The sequence below is a fragment of the Homo sapiens genome, chromosome 7 (assembly GCF_000001405.40).
Source record: "Homo sapiens chromosome 7, GRCh38.p14 Primary Assembly".
NCBI lineage: Eukaryota > Metazoa > Chordata > Mammalia > Primates > Hominidae > Homo > Homo sapiens.
In genome coordinates, this window is record NC_000007.14 from 100,852,639 (window position 1) to 100,867,182 (window position 14,544).

A 14,544-nucleotide genomic window follows, 5' to 3' on the forward strand; every position below is an offset into this window, starting at 1 on the left:
GTCGGGCTTCTCCGGGCGCGCCATGGGGCGGGGCCGAGGACGGGGACCAATAGCGCGCGCGTGCTGGTGGGGGTGGGGACAGGCTCCAGGCCTGGCATCCCGGTAGCCGCAGCTGTCTTTTCCGGCCCCCGTGCACTCTCCGCCCGAGCGGAGCCCCCCGGCTCGCGGGGATCGCCCCCGAGCGCTGCGTCCTGCGGGTGGGTGAGTGAGCGCCTCGCGGCCCCCGAGCTGTGGGGTGCACCTGGCCGGGGAGAAGGATATCTTGGCTCCCTTGCACCCCAACGGGCGCAAAGGGGCAGGAGCCCGGATTGGGGGAGGAGGAGGACCCGGGGACCTTGTGTCGCTCGGTGGGAGCCGGTCTGTGTTTCTGTTTCGCTAGGGTGTGTTTGGGTTGGTAGAGTTTGTGGGGAGGGGTGCCTCGTGTGGATGGGAGGAATCGGGGAGGCTAAGGCGAGGAGGAGGGGGTTTGAGATGGGTTGAGGGAGAGGATTGACGGAGGGTGGGGTTTTGAAAGAGTTGGAAGTTTCTTGTTACCTGTGGGTGCGGTGATTGCATTGGGGGGCTTGGTAGGGGCAGCTCAGGACACCGAAGGAGAGGATGGGGAAGGCTCTCCTGCCCGTAACTTACTTCCCTTTTGGGAGATTTGGTTCCTCTTGCATTGCTAGTTAAGGAAGGAGAGGCTGGAGAAGCCTGTGCCGTCAGAGAACCTTTGCCCCTTTCCAGAACCGGTGCCATCCCTAGTCTCAGGAACATAAGGGAAGGGGTGGCCCCCAGGAGCCGGGAGGGGCCTTGAAACCCCTGCTGACAGGTTTGGGGTACCACTTTTTTGTGGGGCAGTGGCTGGTACCATTTGCAGCCCACGGACTTTTTTGAGTTGCCGGTAAGCAGGGTGTGGGTGCGTTCCTGTTTCCTTGCGGTTGTCTCTTTTTTTTTTTTTATTGACACAGGGTCTCGCTCTGTCACCCAGGCTGGAGTGCAGTGGCATGATCTCGGCTCGCTGCAGCCCTACGCCTCCAGGACTCAAGCGATTCTCGTGTCTCAGCCTCCCAAGTAGCTGTGATTACAGGCATGCACCTTCACGCTTGGCTAATTTTTTTTTTTTTCTTGTGAGACGGAGTCTCACTCTGTCACCCAGGCTGGAGTGCAGTGGTGTGATGTCGGCTCACTGCAACCTCTGCCTCCTGGGTTCAAGGGATTCTCCTGCCTCAGCCTCCCAAGTAGCTGGGACTACAGGCATGAGCCACCATGCCCAGCTACTTTTTGTATTTTTAGTAGAGACGGGGTTTCACCATGTTGACCAGGGTGGTCTCGAACTCCTGACCTCAGGTGATCCACCTGCCTCGTCCTCCCAAAGTGCTGGGATTACAGGCATGAACCACCGAGCCTGGCCAATTTTTGTATTTTTAGTAGAGAGCAGCTCTGTCTTTTGGGGAGGCTTCAGGGTGTTTGATTAGTGGTCTTTGGGGGTGGGCGAGCTCTGTGGGGGAGCTTTTGATGCAACATAATCTCCTTTGCAGGTCACCTAACCCATTTGTGGCTTCCTCTACCTGTGCTCAGCCATGGCCAGCGAGAGCTCACCTCTGCTGGCCTACCGGCTCCTGGGGGAGGAGGGGGTTGCCCTCCCTGCCAATGGGGCCGGGGGTCCTGGAGGGGCGTCTGCCCGGAAGCTGTCCACCTTCCTGGGTGTGGTGGTGCCCACTGTCCTGTCCATGTTCAGCATAGTTGTTTTTCTGAGGATTGGTGAGTGGGTCCTGGGGCGGGTGTGGACTGACTATAGTATGGGAGGACATGATGGGGAGGGGTGGAGATGGGACTGGGATAAGATTAGGAAGGGGACCCAAGAGAAGCGGTTGGCTGAAGGGTTTGGGGAGGGGCTCTCTGTGGGCTTGCATTTAGCTCCACCCTGGAGCTCTGCAGAACCAGGGGGTGGGGGATATGGGGTGTGAGTCCCCTGTGACCTGATTTGCTGCTCCTGCCTCAGGGTTCGTGGTGGGTCATGCTGGGCTACTGCAGGCCCTGGCCATGCTGCTGGTTGCCTACTTCATCCTGGCACTCACCGTCCTCTCTGTCTGTGCCATCGCCACCAATGGAGCCGTGCAGGGGGGCGGAGCCTACTGTATCCTCCAACATCGATGGACTGGGGTCTGGCCTGTTCTGCCTGCTAGGGAGGGTGTGGAAGGGGCCATTACCTTTGTTGGCTCAGGGGCAAGACAAGTGTTTTTTTCATTCTTAAAATTTTTTTAGGCTGGGTGCGGTGGCTCACATCTGTAATCCCAGCACTTTGGGAGGCTGAGGTGGGTGGATCACTTGAGGCCAGGAGTTCAAGACCAGCCTGGCCAACATAGTGAAACCCCGACTCCACTAAAATTACAAAAATTAGCTGGGCATGATGGCACCCGCCTGTGATTCCAGCTACTCGGGAGGCTGAGGCACGAGAATCGCTTGAACCTGGGAGGTGGAGGTTGCAGCGTGCCAAGATCGCATCACTGCACTCCAACCTGGGCAACAGAGCAAGACTCTGACTCCCAGGCTGCAGTGCAGTGGCGCCATCATAGCTCACTGTGATCTCGACTTCCTGGGCTCAAGTGATCCTCCTATCTCAGCCTCCTGAGTAGCCAGCACTATAGGCATGTACCACCACCCCTGTTTAATTTTTAAATATTTGTAGAGATGGAATCTTGCTATGTTTCCCAGGCTGGTCTTGAATTCCTGGCCTCAAGTGATCCTCCTGCCTCAGCCTCCCAAAATGCTAGGATTACAGGCGTCAGCCACTGTGCCTGGCCTGGCAGGGCAAGTTTTAATAAATGTGCAGCAGGCAGGCTGGTATAGTGAAGGAGATCAACATTGCCCTGCACGTTGATGCCAATTTCTAGTCCAACAATCTCATCTGTTAGGCAGTGATTGTTTTACAGATGCAGAAACTGGCACTCAGAGGATATGAGTGACTTGGGCAAAGCCACATGGCTGGGGCCTGGCTGCACTTGGGTTCAGTGCTTGGAGCTATGGCAACTTCCTCACGTCCATTTCAGTCTTTTCCCTTAATGCTCACCCCTGCTTCCACTTTCAGTCATGATCAGCCGCACACTGGGGCCCGAGGTCGGGGGCAGCATTGGGCTCATGTTCTACCTGGCTAACGTCTGTGGCTGTGCCGTCTCCCTCCTGGGGCTGGTGGAGTCTGTGCTTGATGTCTTCGGGGCCGGTCTGTGCTCTGTCCGATCTGGGCAGTGCTGCGGGTTTACAGGGTCTGGGAGTGTGGGATCATGAGGGAGAAGGTCCTCTCCAGCAGAGGGGCAGACTGAGCCATTACCTTGGCTTTCTGGAGCTTCTGCTGTGTGGCCAGCATCGTGCAGGAGATATGGACATCCCTGAGATTGTCCTTGCCTGCAGGGAGCTAACCATCTAATCGGAGAGACCAGGCTAAGATTCTTAAAACTGACAGAGACCACCAGGGAGAGCTAAGATGCTAGGATGGAGCTAAGAGGGAAGTGGGGAAGGTGGACTCTCTGATAGCAGGTGGGCAGAGGAGGGCTTGTCTTGCTTTGGGTCACAGTTGGGGCTGGGTCCCTTCTTATTTATTTATTTATTTTGAGATGGAGTCTTGCTTTGTTGCCCAGGCTGGAGTACAGTGGTGTGATCTCCGCTCACTGCAACCTTTGCCTCCCGGGTTCAAGCAATTCTCCTGCCTTAGCCTCTTGAGTAGCTGGGATTACAGGCACTCACCACCACGCCTGGCTAATGTTTGTATTTTTAGTAGAGACGGGGTTTCACCATGTTGGCCAGGCTGGTCTTGAACTCCTGACCTCAAGTGATCCACCTGCCTCAGCTTCCCAAAGTGTTGGGATTACAGGCGTGAGCCCCGGCGCCCTGCCCCTTCTTCTTTTTTTTTTTTTTCTTGAGAGAAGGTCTCACTCTGTCACCAAGGCTGGAGTGCAGTGGTACCATCTCGGCTCAATGCAACTTCTGCCTCCCGGGCTCATGCGATTCTCCCACCTCAGCCTCCCAGTAGCTGGACTACAGGCATGCCTCCCCACACCTGGCTAATTTTGCAGTTTTTGTGGAGCTGGGGTTTCACAATGTTGCCCAGGTTAGTTTTAAACTCCTGGACTCAAGCAATCCTCCCACCTCGGCCTCCCAAAGTGCTGGAATTATAGATGTGAGCCGCCCACCATGCCCGGCTGGTGGGGTGCCTTAGGATCGGGCCTTCTAACTCTGTCCCTACCTCTCTCCAGATGCCACAGGGCCCAGTGGGCTCCGGGTCCTGCCCCAGGGCTACGGCTGGAACCTGCTGTATGGCTCCCTGCTGCTGGGCCTTGTGGGTGGGGTCTGCACCCTGGGAGCCGGCCTCTATGCCCGGGCCTCATTCCTCACATTCCTGCTGGTCTCTGGCTCCCTGGCCTCTGTGCTCATCAGTTTTGTGGCTGTGGGGCCGAGGGACATCCGCTTGACTCCTAGGCCTGGCCCCAATGGCTCCTCCCTGCCGCCCCGGTTTGGCCACTTCACCGGCTTCAACAGCAGTACCCTGAAGGACAACTTGGGCGGTGAGCTGGGTGCTGCCGTGGCAGGGATCTCGGGGTGAGGGGTGGGCAGACGTCGGGCCGGGCCCGTAAAACCTCTGGATGAGCACAGGTGTCAGAGGGAATGGAGGGCAGGAGGTCTGGACTGCAGAGCAGTGCAATTTAATTCAAGCCTGTCTAGCGTGTGCTTGGCCGGCAGGGCAGGAGGAAGCCCACAAAACAGTCCCTGCTTTAGAGGAACTTGTGTTCTAGCTGAGGAGAGACATGCATTCAGGAATCAGTTAAATAGCACAGAATGGCCCAGCATGACTTAAACAGATCAGGATCACCCAGGAGTGGAGAGAAGGGAGGCCTGACTATGGGCTGGGGAGGGCAGGAGCCGGGGAGCTGGAGGTGGCCTGAGATAGACAGGTGGGGGATTCAGCCAGGAGCTGGGAGCAGAGAGGGAAGGCATCTCAGGAAAGAGCTTGAGACCAGGTGCGGTGGCTCACGCCTGTAATCCCAGCATTCTGGGAGGCCGAGGCAGGAGGATCACCTGAGGTCAGGAGTTTGAGACCAGTCTGGCCAACATGGTGAAACCCTCTCCCCGTCTCTACTAAAAACACGAAAATTAGCTGGGCACGCTGGCTTGCACCTGTAGTGCCAGACACTCGGGAAGCTGAGGGAGAACTGATTGAACCCGGGAGGAGGAGCCGAGATTGTGCCATTCAGTGAGCCGAGATTGCACCATTGCACTCCAGCCTGGGAGACAGTGAGGTTCCCTCTCCAAAAAACAAACAAACAAAAAAAACACCATAAAATAAAAATACAAAAATTAGCCAGGGGTGGTGGTGCGCACCTGTAGTCCCAGCTACTCAGGAGGCTGAGGCATGAGAATCTCTTGAACCCGGGAGGCAGAGGCTGCAGTGAGCTAAGATCGCCACCACTGCCCTCCAGCCTGGGCTTCAGAACGAGACTCCGTCTCAAAAAAATAAATAGGCTGGGTGCGGTGGCTCCCGCCTGTAATCCCAGGACTTTCGGAGGTCGAGGCGGGTGGATCACCTGAGTCCAGGAGTTCGAGATCAGCCTGGCCAACATGGTGAAACCCCATCTCTACTAAAAATACAAAAATTAGCCAGGCGTGGTGGCGGGCACCTGTAATCCCAGCTACCTGAGAGGCTGAGACAGGGGAATTGCTTGAACCTGGGAGGCAGAAGTTGCAGTGAGCCGAGATCGCACCACTGCACTCTCGCCTGGGTGACACAGCGAGACTCCATCTCAAAATAAATAAATAAATAAAATTAAAAAGTTAGATGGGCATGGTGGTGCACACCTGTAGTCCCAGCTACTTGGCAGACTGAGGCAGGAGGATCGCTCTAGCCCAGGAGGTAGAGGTTGCAGTGAGCTACGATGGTGCCACTGCACTCCAGCCTGGATGACAGAGCCAGACCCTGTCTCTAAAAAATAAATAAATAAATAAAAGAGCGTGGATTAGGGTCTGGAGGGAGGAATATCGGAGCACTGGGGGGACGTGGCAATGTGTCTGGCTGACCCAGGGCCAGTGCAGGAACAGGCTGGGGTCTTAGTGAGGGCAGTGCAGGGGAGGCAAGAGGACCGTGGGAATGTGTGGAGAGGGTGGCTAAGAGGCCTGGATCCCTGAGACGGATGCTGATGCACTCTCCTCCCTGGGAGGATCCTCCTAGCTGGCTATGCTGAGGACTACACCACGGGAGCCGTGATGAATTTTGCCAGCGTCTTTGCTGTCCTCTTTAACGGCTGTACAGGCATCATGGCTGGGGCCAACATGTCAGGTGAGAGTCCCTGCCTGCTGCCTCCTGGGGGTTTGGGGCTGCCACCGTGAGGGACCCAGGGGGATGGCTGGAGGGCTGACCTCACTCCCTCTGCTCCCCCTCTCCAGGGGAGCTGAAGGACCCCAGCCGGGCGATCCCTCTGGGCACGATCGTCGCCGTCGCCTACACCTTCTTCGTCTATGTCCTGCTTTTCTTTCTCTCCAGCTTCACTTGTGACAGGTGTCTGGGGAGGGATGGGGGTGGAGTGTCGAACAAGATTGGTGCACCTGGGTCACCAAGGGGAAACACAGGCTGGGGGACTGGGAAGCAGAAACCCAGCTTGTTGGGGTGGAGGGTGGCTACCGGCGATTGACAACCTATAGCCAGCAGCTGCCATGGACCCAGTACTGTTGCAGGCACTTAGCTTGGGAGTGAGGGTGGGTAGTGGCTTTCTACCCAGTTTGCATTTCCACAAATATTTGGCCTCTTGTGCATATACCATTAGGTATGACAGCCGGGTGCGGTGGCTCACACCTGTAATCCCAGCACTTTGGGAGGCTGAGGCAGGAGGATCGCTGGAGCCCAGGAGTTCCAGACCAGCCTGGGCAACAGAGCAAGAGCCTCCCCCCAAATACAAAAATTAGCCAGGTGTGATGGCAAATGCTTGTAGTCTTGGCTACTTGGGAGGCTGAGGTGGGAGGATTGCTTGAGTCCAAGAGGTCGAGGCTGCAGTGAGCTATGATTACAGCACTGCACTTTAGCCTGGGGGTTGGAGTGAGACCTTGTCTCTTAAAAAAAAGGAAGGAATGACCACTGAGTGATTAAATCCAAGGCTGCCCAATGAATACCAGGCATATCCCTTTAGCACATTTGATATCTGAGTCTGATCCTTAAGATCGGGGCTGGAGATTTTCTTACCCCGTGACGCATGATCATCCGTGTCCTCCTTTTCCTCCTTCCTAGGACCCTGCTGCAGGAAGACTATGGGTTCTTCCGCGCCATCAGCCTGTGGCCCCCACTGGTGTTGATCGGAATCTATGCCACAGCGCTCTCAGCGTCCATGAGCTCGCTCATTGGTGCCTCCCGCATCCTCCATGCCCTGGCCCGGGATGACCTCTTTGGTGGGTTCTCTGCCTCCTTGCTGGCTTGGAGCACGCCCTCCCTTGTCTGTCTCTCCGTCCCCGCTGAGCCCTGGCTGATGTGTCTGCTGTGGATTCTGTTTTTCTAGGCGTGATCTTGGCACCGGCCAAGGTTGTGTCCCGAGGGGGAAACCCCTGGGCAGCTGTACTTTATTCTTGGGGCCTGGTGCAGGTGAGCCTTCTTCTTCAAGGGGCCCTTTCCCTCACCCCACCAGCTGGCAGGATGGGGGTGCAGTTAGATGCAGGCTGGGAGACAAATGTAAAGACAAATGCGTATGCACTTGGGGTTGCACTGGCACTCTGCAGGGTTCACTGGCACTTTGTGGGGTTCACCAGCACCTTGCAGGTTGCCCCAGTGCTTTGCAGAGTTCATTGGCACCCTGGGAGGTTCACTGGCACTTTTTGGGGTACACGGGCATTGTGCAGGGTTCACTGACACTTTTTGGGGTATACTAGTATTTTTCAGTATTCACTGGCACTTTGTGGGGTGCCCCAGCACTTTGAGGGATTCACTGGCACTCTGTGGGATGTACCAACACTTTGTGGGGGTTCACTGATACTTTGGAGGTTTGGTGGCACTCTGTGGGAGTGCATTGGCCCTTTCTGGGGATCACTGACATTGGGGGTGCACTTGCACTTTACAGGGCTCACGGGCACTTTTCAGGGTTCATTGACACTTTGGGGTGCACTGGCACTCTCTGGGGTTCATTGACACTTTGGGGGTGCGCTGGCACTTTGCATGGTTCACTGGTACTTTCCAGGGTTCACTGACACTTTGGGGGTACACTGGCACTTTCTGGGGTTCACTGACACTGGGGATACACTGGCACTTTTGGGGTTTAATAGCATTTTAGGGGCTCATTGACACTTTGGGGGTGCACTGGCACTTTTGGGGTTTAATAGCATTTTGGGGGTTCATTGACACTTTGGGGGTGCACTGGCACTTTGCAGGGTTCACTGGCACTTTCTGGGGCTCATTGACACTTTGGGGTACACTGGCATTCTTTGGTGTTCACTGGCATTTTGGGGGTGCACTGGCACTTTGGAACAACGGCACGCCTCTTGGCCCTTGCCCAGCTGGTGCTCCTGGCTGGGAAGCTGAACACACTGGCTGCTGTGGTCACTGTCTTCTACCTGGTGGCCTATGCTGCCGTGGACCTGTCCTGCCTGAGCCTGGAGTGGGCCTCGGCCCCCAACTTCCGGTGAGAGACTCAGATCTGTGTCCCCAGAGAGAAGAAGGGAGGACTCGGGCTCAGGCGTGGGGCTGGGGACTGCAGCCTCGTGTGCGGCCTGCCCTGAGTTTCTGTCCCTCCTCCCCTCCATGCCCGCAGCCCCACCTTCAGCCTGTTCTCCTGGCACACCTGCCTGCTGGGGGTGGCCTCCTGCCTGCTCATGATGTTCCTCATCAGTCCTGGCGCGGCTGGTGGCTCCCTGCTCCTCATGGGTCTGCTGGCTGCCCTGCTCACCGCGCGAGGAGGCCCCAGTAGCTGGGGCTATGTCAGCCAGGCCTTGCTTTTCCACCAGGTATGGGGAGCTGGTGGGGCGGTGGGGAAATGGGAGGTGGTCAAAGAACCCCCTCTCTCTTTGGCTGGAGTTGGTGCTCCCGTCCAGGAGGCGCTGAACGGGGCTGTGCATTTGATCCTGCCACTTCCCCACTGCCTCACCCCTATACCCAGGTGCGTAAGTATCTGCTTCGGCTGGACGTCCGGAAGGATCACGTGAAGTTCTGGCGGCCCCAGCTGCTGCTCCTGGTGGGGAACCCCCGGGGCGCCCTGCCTCTGCTGCGGTTGGCCAACCAGCTTAAGAAGGGGGGGCTGTATGTGCTGGGCCACGTCACCCTGGGAGACCTCGGTGAGCTGCCCTCCCACTCACTCACTCACTCCCATCCTTCTCTCCCCCTACCTTTTTTTTTTTTTTGAGATGGAGCTTCGTTCTGTTGCCCAGGCTGGAGTGCAGTGGGACGATCTTGGCTCACTGCAACCTCCACCTCCCAGGTTCAAGTAATTCTCCTGCCTTAGCCTCCTGAGCTGGGATTACAGGCACACACCATCATGCCTGGCTAGTTTTTGTATTTTTAGTAGAGAAGGGGTTTCACCATGTTGGCCAAGCTAGTCTCGAACTCCTGACCTCAAGTGCTCCGCCCATCTCGGCCTCCCAAAGTGCTGGAATTGTAGGTGTGAGCCACCACGGCCAGAACCCCTCCCCCGCTTTTTTTTGAGACAAGGTCTTGCTCTGTCACCCAGGCTGGAGAGCAGTGGTGCCATCATAGTTCACTGCAGCCTCAACCTCTTGGGCTCAAGTAATCCTCCTGCCTTGGCCTCCTGAGTAGCTGGGACTACAGGTGTGTGCCACCAGGCCTGGCTCATTTGTAGAGATGAGGTCTCTTTATGTTTCCCAGGCTGTCTGGAACTCCTGGCTCAAGCAGCCCTCCCACCTTGGCTTCCCAAAGGGCAGGGATTACAGGCATGAGCCCCGACACCAGCCCCTCTGCCCCTTTTATCCTTTCCCATGACCCCTCCAAGTAGCCATAGCCCTGCCCAGGCCCGTCTGTGATTTGGACTCTAGGAGACATTGAGTTTGGACAACACTGGCTACCTTCCTTTCCTTATCTTCTCTGTAGACTCCCTGCCCTCGGACCCTGTACAGCCGCAGTATGGGGCATGGCTCAGCCTGGTGGACCGTGCCCAGGTGAAGGCTTTTGTGGATCTAACCCTCTCACCCTCCGTGCGCCAGGGGGCTCAGCATCTGCTGCGAATCTCCGGCCTCGGTGAGCTGCTTCTCCCTGGATGCCCTCGGCCTTCCTCTGTGGCCACTTCAAATCTCCGCTCCCCTCCCCTAGAGAGTCAGCCACAGATTGCAAACTGCAAAAGGACCTTATAGTCGAGAGGAGATAAGACAGTGCTCAAAGATAATAGCCTCAGACAGTGTGTGATAAGGTCTAATAGGAGATGCTAGGGACTAGTGATGGGGTGGGCGATGTTGTGGGTTTTTTTTCCTTCTTCTTTTTTTTTTTTTTTTTTGAGACGGAGTCTCACTCTGTCTTGCCCAGGCTGGAGTACAGTGGCACGATCTTGGCTCACTGCCTCCTCCACCTCCCAGGTTCAAGTGATTCTCCTGTCTTAGCCTCCCAAATATCTGGGACTATAGGCATGTGCTACCATACCTGGCTAATTTTTGTATTTTTAGTAGAGATGGGGGTTTCACCATGTTGCCCAGGCCAGTGTCGAGCTCCTGACCTCAGGTGATCTACCCGCCTCGGCCTCCCAAAGTGCTGGGATTACAGGCATGTACCACTGTGCCCAGCCTTTCCTTCTTTTTTTTTCTGATCCAAAAATTGGGGCATAGGCACTGAAGAGTGTATTTTTGGAGACAATGGAGCATTATTTGAATCTCCAGCTGCCTCATCAAATCAGATGGTTTTTAACCACCAGTGTTCAGAGGAAGGCAGGCCAGCCACTATACACTGATGTGGCCAGCAAAGGTTTTGCGGAGAGATGGTAATTCATCCAGACTTTGAAAGAGGTTGGGATGTAGGAGATGTAACATGTCTCCCCTGCCCCCGCCACCCAAAGCCACAAAGGATGCCGGAGGCTGTGTGGGGCGGACGTCTGTGGATGGAGCGGTAAATTCTCAGCTTTTAGCGCTGAGGCCACCAGGGTTATCTATGCTCAGTCACTGCCTTTTCCCTTAATCCTGGACCAGTGCCCGTCACCAAAGTGCATGCTTCCTTCTCTATTCAGAGTCTGGCTAAAGTTCAACAGTGTTGGACATTGCCCAGTTCAGTGTAAATCAGAACCCTGGGAAATACTGAGGAGGGGGCATGACTAGTTTATTTTGCAAGATCAGCTGGAATTCACACCTGCGGAGATGTTTTGGGGTGTCGTCAAGCATCATTGACCCACAGAACATCTGAGAGCCTGGTCTTCACTTTTTGTGCAGAGACCACAATGCTTATGAAATACGAAATTTTTCCTGTGGAAGATATCAGGTCGGTGCAAAAGCAATTGCGGTTTTTGCCTTTTTTTTTTTTTTTTTTTGGACAGGGTCTCACTCTGTTGCCCAGGCTGGAGTGCAGTGGCACAATGTCAGCTCACTGCAACCTCTGCCTCCCGGGTTCAAGTATTCTCCCATCTCAGCCTCCCAAGTAGCTGGGACTACAGATATACGCCAGCATTGTCCGGCTAATTTTTGTATATTTTTGGTAGAGACGGGGTTTCACCATATTGCCCAGGCTGATCTCGAACTTCCAACCTCAGGTGATCCGCCTGCCTCAGCCTCCCAAAGTGCTGGGATGCCATTTTAATGGGGGAAAAAAAGAACCACAATTACTTTTGCACCAACCTATTCCAATAAAAGGAAAAGTAGTTCCTTTAAATGGTGGATTCTCCTGTCATAGAAAATTTGATTTATGGCTTGAGCAGTGTTTGTTTCATGAGAAGGGGTCTTGGAAGAGGTCTCTGCGTCTCCCTGTAAACTCAGCAATTATCCGATTCCACAAGGGTTGTTCAAAAATTAAGAACGAAGAGCTTGTCAGCAGGGACTTGGAGCATTGTGGTTGCCACGTGCCCAGCTCGGTGGCTCAGAGTGTGGCCTCTCACGCTGGATGGAGGCGGATTGCGTTGACCTACCTGCCCCAGTACCTACCAGATATGAGCCTATGGGCAAGTGACTTCATCCCTTGGTGCTTTGGGCTCCTTATCAGTAAAAAGAGGAGACTAAATATTACCTACCTCATAGCATTACTTCGAGTTTCAAATAAGTTAAAATATAAAGTGCTTTCTACAGGACATAGCCCCTGGTAAGCGGATACCATGCAATGAACCACCATGATTAGGGTTTTGGTAAAACCTACTAGGGTTAGGGTTTACTGCAGTAAACATACGGGGTAGCCCTGTTTCTTTTTTTCTTTTTTTTTGAGATGGAGTCTCGCTCTGTTGCCCAGGCTGGAGTGCAGTGGCGTGATCTCGGCTTACTACAACCACCACCTTCCGGGTTCAGGCAATTCTCATGTCTCAGCCTCCTGAGTAGCTGGGATTATAGATGCCCACCACAATGCCCGGCTAATTTTTGTATTTTTAGTAGAGATAGCATTTCACCGTATTGGCCAGGCTGGTCTCAAACTCCTGATCTCAGGTGATCAACGTGCCTCAGCTTCCCAAGATGCTGCGATTACAGGTGTGAGCCACGGTGCCCTGCCTGGTCCATTTTTTCATCTTCCCATTGCAGAGTCTGGGACGCTATTACCCTGGGGATTCAGGTCATGAGCTTGGCTGATCAGGGTGTCTGGTTTGCACAACAGAGTCAAACTCGCATCCCCTGCCGTGAAACAGATGCCCCGCTAGAAGCCGGGAGTGGACAGCATCCTCCTCTCCATAGAATTGGAGTGCTCATTAGTGGCAAGAATCCTAAGGCGAACTTTGCCTGTTTAAGTGGAGGAGATTAGTCACTGAGATAATAAAATAAATGCATGTGAAAGTGTTTAGGAAAAATGAAAAGTCTTTATGCAAATATGCAGAATGTTGCCGTAAGAGCCCGTACACAGTGGGAATGTCATACCTATGGCTGACGCACCTTGCTGTCAGTGTGTGGGAGCGTGGTGTAAACTTAGCCTGTGAGCCTGACTCCTGTCTGTTCCTGCCTTCCCCGCTCTGCCCCCAGGTGGCATGAAGCCCAACACGTTGGTCCTAGGTTTCTACGATGACGCTCCACCGCAGGACCATTTCCTGACGGACCCGGCTTTCTCTGAGCCTGCAGACAGCACCAGGGAGGGCAGTTCCCCAGCTCTGAGCACCCTGTTCCCTCCTCCCCGGGCTCCTGGGAGCCCCCGGGCCCTCAATCCCCAGGACTATGTGGCCACGGTGGCCGACGCCCTCAAGATGAACAAGAATGTGGTGCTGGCCCGGGCCAGCGGGGCCTTGCCCCCTGAGCGGCTGAGCCGGGGGTCTGGGGGCACCTCTCAGCTGCACCATGTGGACGTGTGGCCCCTCAACCTGCTGCGGCCCCGGGGTGGGCCCGGCTATGTGGATGTCTGCGGCCTCTTCCTGCTGCAGATGGCAACCATCTTGGGCATGGTGCCCGCTTGGCATAGCGCCCGGCTCCGGATCTTCCTGTGCCTGGGGCCTCGGGAGGCGCCTGGGGCGGCCGAGGGGCGGCTGCGGGCACTGCTGAGCCAACTGAGGATCCGGGCTGAGGTGCAGGAGGTGGTGTGGGGCGAGGGGGCCGGGGCTGGGGAACCCGAGGCGGAGGAGGAAGGGGACTTTGTGAACAGTGGGCGGGGAGACGCAGAGGCAGAGGCCCTGGCACGCAGCGCCAACGCCCTGGTTCGGGCCCAGCAGGGGCGCGGCACAGGAGGAGGGCCGGGTGGGCCGGAGGGTGGGGATGCTGAGGGCCCCATCACAGCCCTCACCTTCCTGTACTTGCCTCGGCCGCCAGCCGATCCCGCCCGATACCCCCGCTACCTGGCGCTACTGGAGACTCTAACCCGAGACCTGGGCCCCACGCTGCTGGTTCATGGGGTCACTCCAGTCACCTGCACTGATCTGTGATGCCCCTGCCTCCAGGGCTAGGTAGAGAGGGCCCAGGCAGGCGGCCTATCCTGATCCTTGGAGGAGGAGGAAGAGGAGGCCACTGTGGCCCGTGGCCCTGCCCTTGGGACGTGGAGCCCAGGGGAGGTTTGAAGGGGATCCTGGGCTTGGGCATCACGCCCACCTCCTTTGGCAGAGGGACCCCAGCACACTAACTCTGGGTGGCTGTCCCCACCGTGCAGGGGAGGGAGTCCGCAGCCTCCCTTCACTGGTGCCTTGATGCTAGGGGCCAGGCCTCCTCTGTGACTCTGGGCTACCTCAGTTTCCCCATTTTGGCCAGACTCACCGGCCCACTGGGGTGGTGATGTTTTCGTTCTGTTTTATTTTTCTAACTCTGCTGACCATGAATAAAAGACCAAAACACTACAGGCTGGCTGAGCAGTGCTGGTGGGTAGCTGAGAGGGAGGGGGTGGGAATGGAGAGCTCTGCAGAGGGGTGGAGATCGGAGCCTTCAGCCTCCCGCCGCGAGGCTGCCACGTGCAGGGCTGGGGTGCGGGGCCCGGACGCATCCGTGGACTTGGAGGCTGGCTCGGGCCCG

At 56.0% G+C, this 14,544-nt stretch overlaps 1 protein-coding gene across 13 annotated transcripts in view, besides 6 other annotated features; it reads left to right on the forward strand.

The window, feature by feature from the left end:
- SLC12A9 (solute carrier family 12 member 9) overlaps positions 1 to 14,374 on the forward strand; it is a 40,144-nt gene extending 25,770 nt beyond the window's left edge. For 2 of the 13 annotated variants that reach the window (XM_047420627.1, XM_047420628.1), the window contains 13 exons: positions 1,518 to 1,740; positions 1,982 to 2,116; positions 3,068 to 3,199; positions 4,230 to 4,538; positions 6,197 to 6,304; positions 6,412 to 6,523; positions 7,247 to 7,404; positions 7,512 to 7,594; positions 8,500 to 8,624; positions 8,754 to 8,946; positions 9,099 to 9,273; positions 10,043 to 10,189; positions 13,081 to 14,374. In XM_047420627.1, the coding sequence (XP_047276583.1) occupies positions 1,560 to 1,740; positions 1,982 to 2,116; positions 3,068 to 3,199; positions 4,230 to 4,538; positions 6,197 to 6,304; positions 6,412 to 6,523; positions 7,247 to 7,404; positions 7,512 to 7,594; positions 8,500 to 8,624; positions 8,754 to 8,946; positions 9,099 to 9,273; positions 10,043 to 10,189; positions 13,081 to 13,967 (2,745 nt within the window). In that variant the 5' untranslated portion in view covers positions 1,518 to 1,559 and the 3' untranslated portion in view covers positions 13,968 to 14,374. Of the gene's footprint in view, positions 1 to 74; positions 381 to 1,517; positions 1,741 to 1,981; positions 2,117 to 3,067; positions 3,200 to 4,229; positions 4,539 to 6,196; positions 6,305 to 6,411; positions 6,524 to 7,246; positions 7,405 to 7,511; positions 7,595 to 8,499; positions 8,625 to 8,753; positions 8,947 to 9,098; positions 9,274 to 10,042; positions 10,190 to 12,648; positions 12,912 to 13,080 lie in introns of those variants that run through there. The other 11 variants (NM_001363494.1, XM_047420632.1, XM_047420626.1 and 8 more) reach the window with 10 other exon arrangements.
- Positions 2 to 311: a silencer, noted in NCBI's record as "silent region_18463". NCBI's record gives its function as "represses an Ori minimal core promoter by ATAC-STARR-seq in GM12878 lymphoblastoid cells {active_cell/tissue: GM12878}" and the evidence as "EXISTENCE:reporter gene assay evidence [ECO:0000049][PMID:35858748]".
- Positions 5,892 to 6,392: an enhancer, noted in NCBI's record as "H3K4me1 hESC enhancer chr7:100456152-100456652 (GRCh37/hg19 assembly coordinates)". NCBI's record gives its function as "activates a minimal SCP1, AML or CMV promoter by ChIP-STARR-seq in naive H9 embryonic stem cells {active_cell/tissue: H9 hESC(naive)}" and the evidence as "EXISTENCE:reporter gene assay evidence [ECO:0000049][PMID:30033119]".
- Positions 6,393 to 6,893: an enhancer, noted in NCBI's record as "H3K4me1 hESC enhancer chr7:100456653-100457153 (GRCh37/hg19 assembly coordinates)". NCBI's record gives its function as "activates a minimal SCP1, AML or CMV promoter by ChIP-STARR-seq in naive H9 embryonic stem cells {active_cell/tissue: H9 hESC(naive)}" and the evidence as "EXISTENCE:reporter gene assay evidence [ECO:0000049][PMID:30033119]".
- Positions 7,551 to 8,050: an enhancer, noted in NCBI's record as "H3K4me1 hESC enhancer chr7:100457811-100458310 (GRCh37/hg19 assembly coordinates)". NCBI's record gives its function as "activates a minimal SCP1, AML or CMV promoter by ChIP-STARR-seq in primed H9 embryonic stem cells {active_cell/tissue: H9 hESC(primed)}" and the evidence as "EXISTENCE:reporter gene assay evidence [ECO:0000049][PMID:30033119]".
- Positions 8,269 to 8,770: an enhancer, noted in NCBI's record as "H3K4me1 hESC enhancer chr7:100458529-100459030 (GRCh37/hg19 assembly coordinates)". NCBI's record gives its function as "activates a minimal SCP1, AML or CMV promoter by ChIP-STARR-seq in naive H9 embryonic stem cells {active_cell/tissue: H9 hESC(naive)}" and the evidence as "EXISTENCE:reporter gene assay evidence [ECO:0000049][PMID:30033119]".
- Positions 14,397 to 14,486: a silencer, noted in NCBI's record as "silent region_18464". NCBI's record gives its function as "represses an Ori minimal core promoter by ATAC-STARR-seq in GM12878 lymphoblastoid cells {active_cell/tissue: GM12878}" and the evidence as "EXISTENCE:reporter gene assay evidence [ECO:0000049][PMID:35858748]".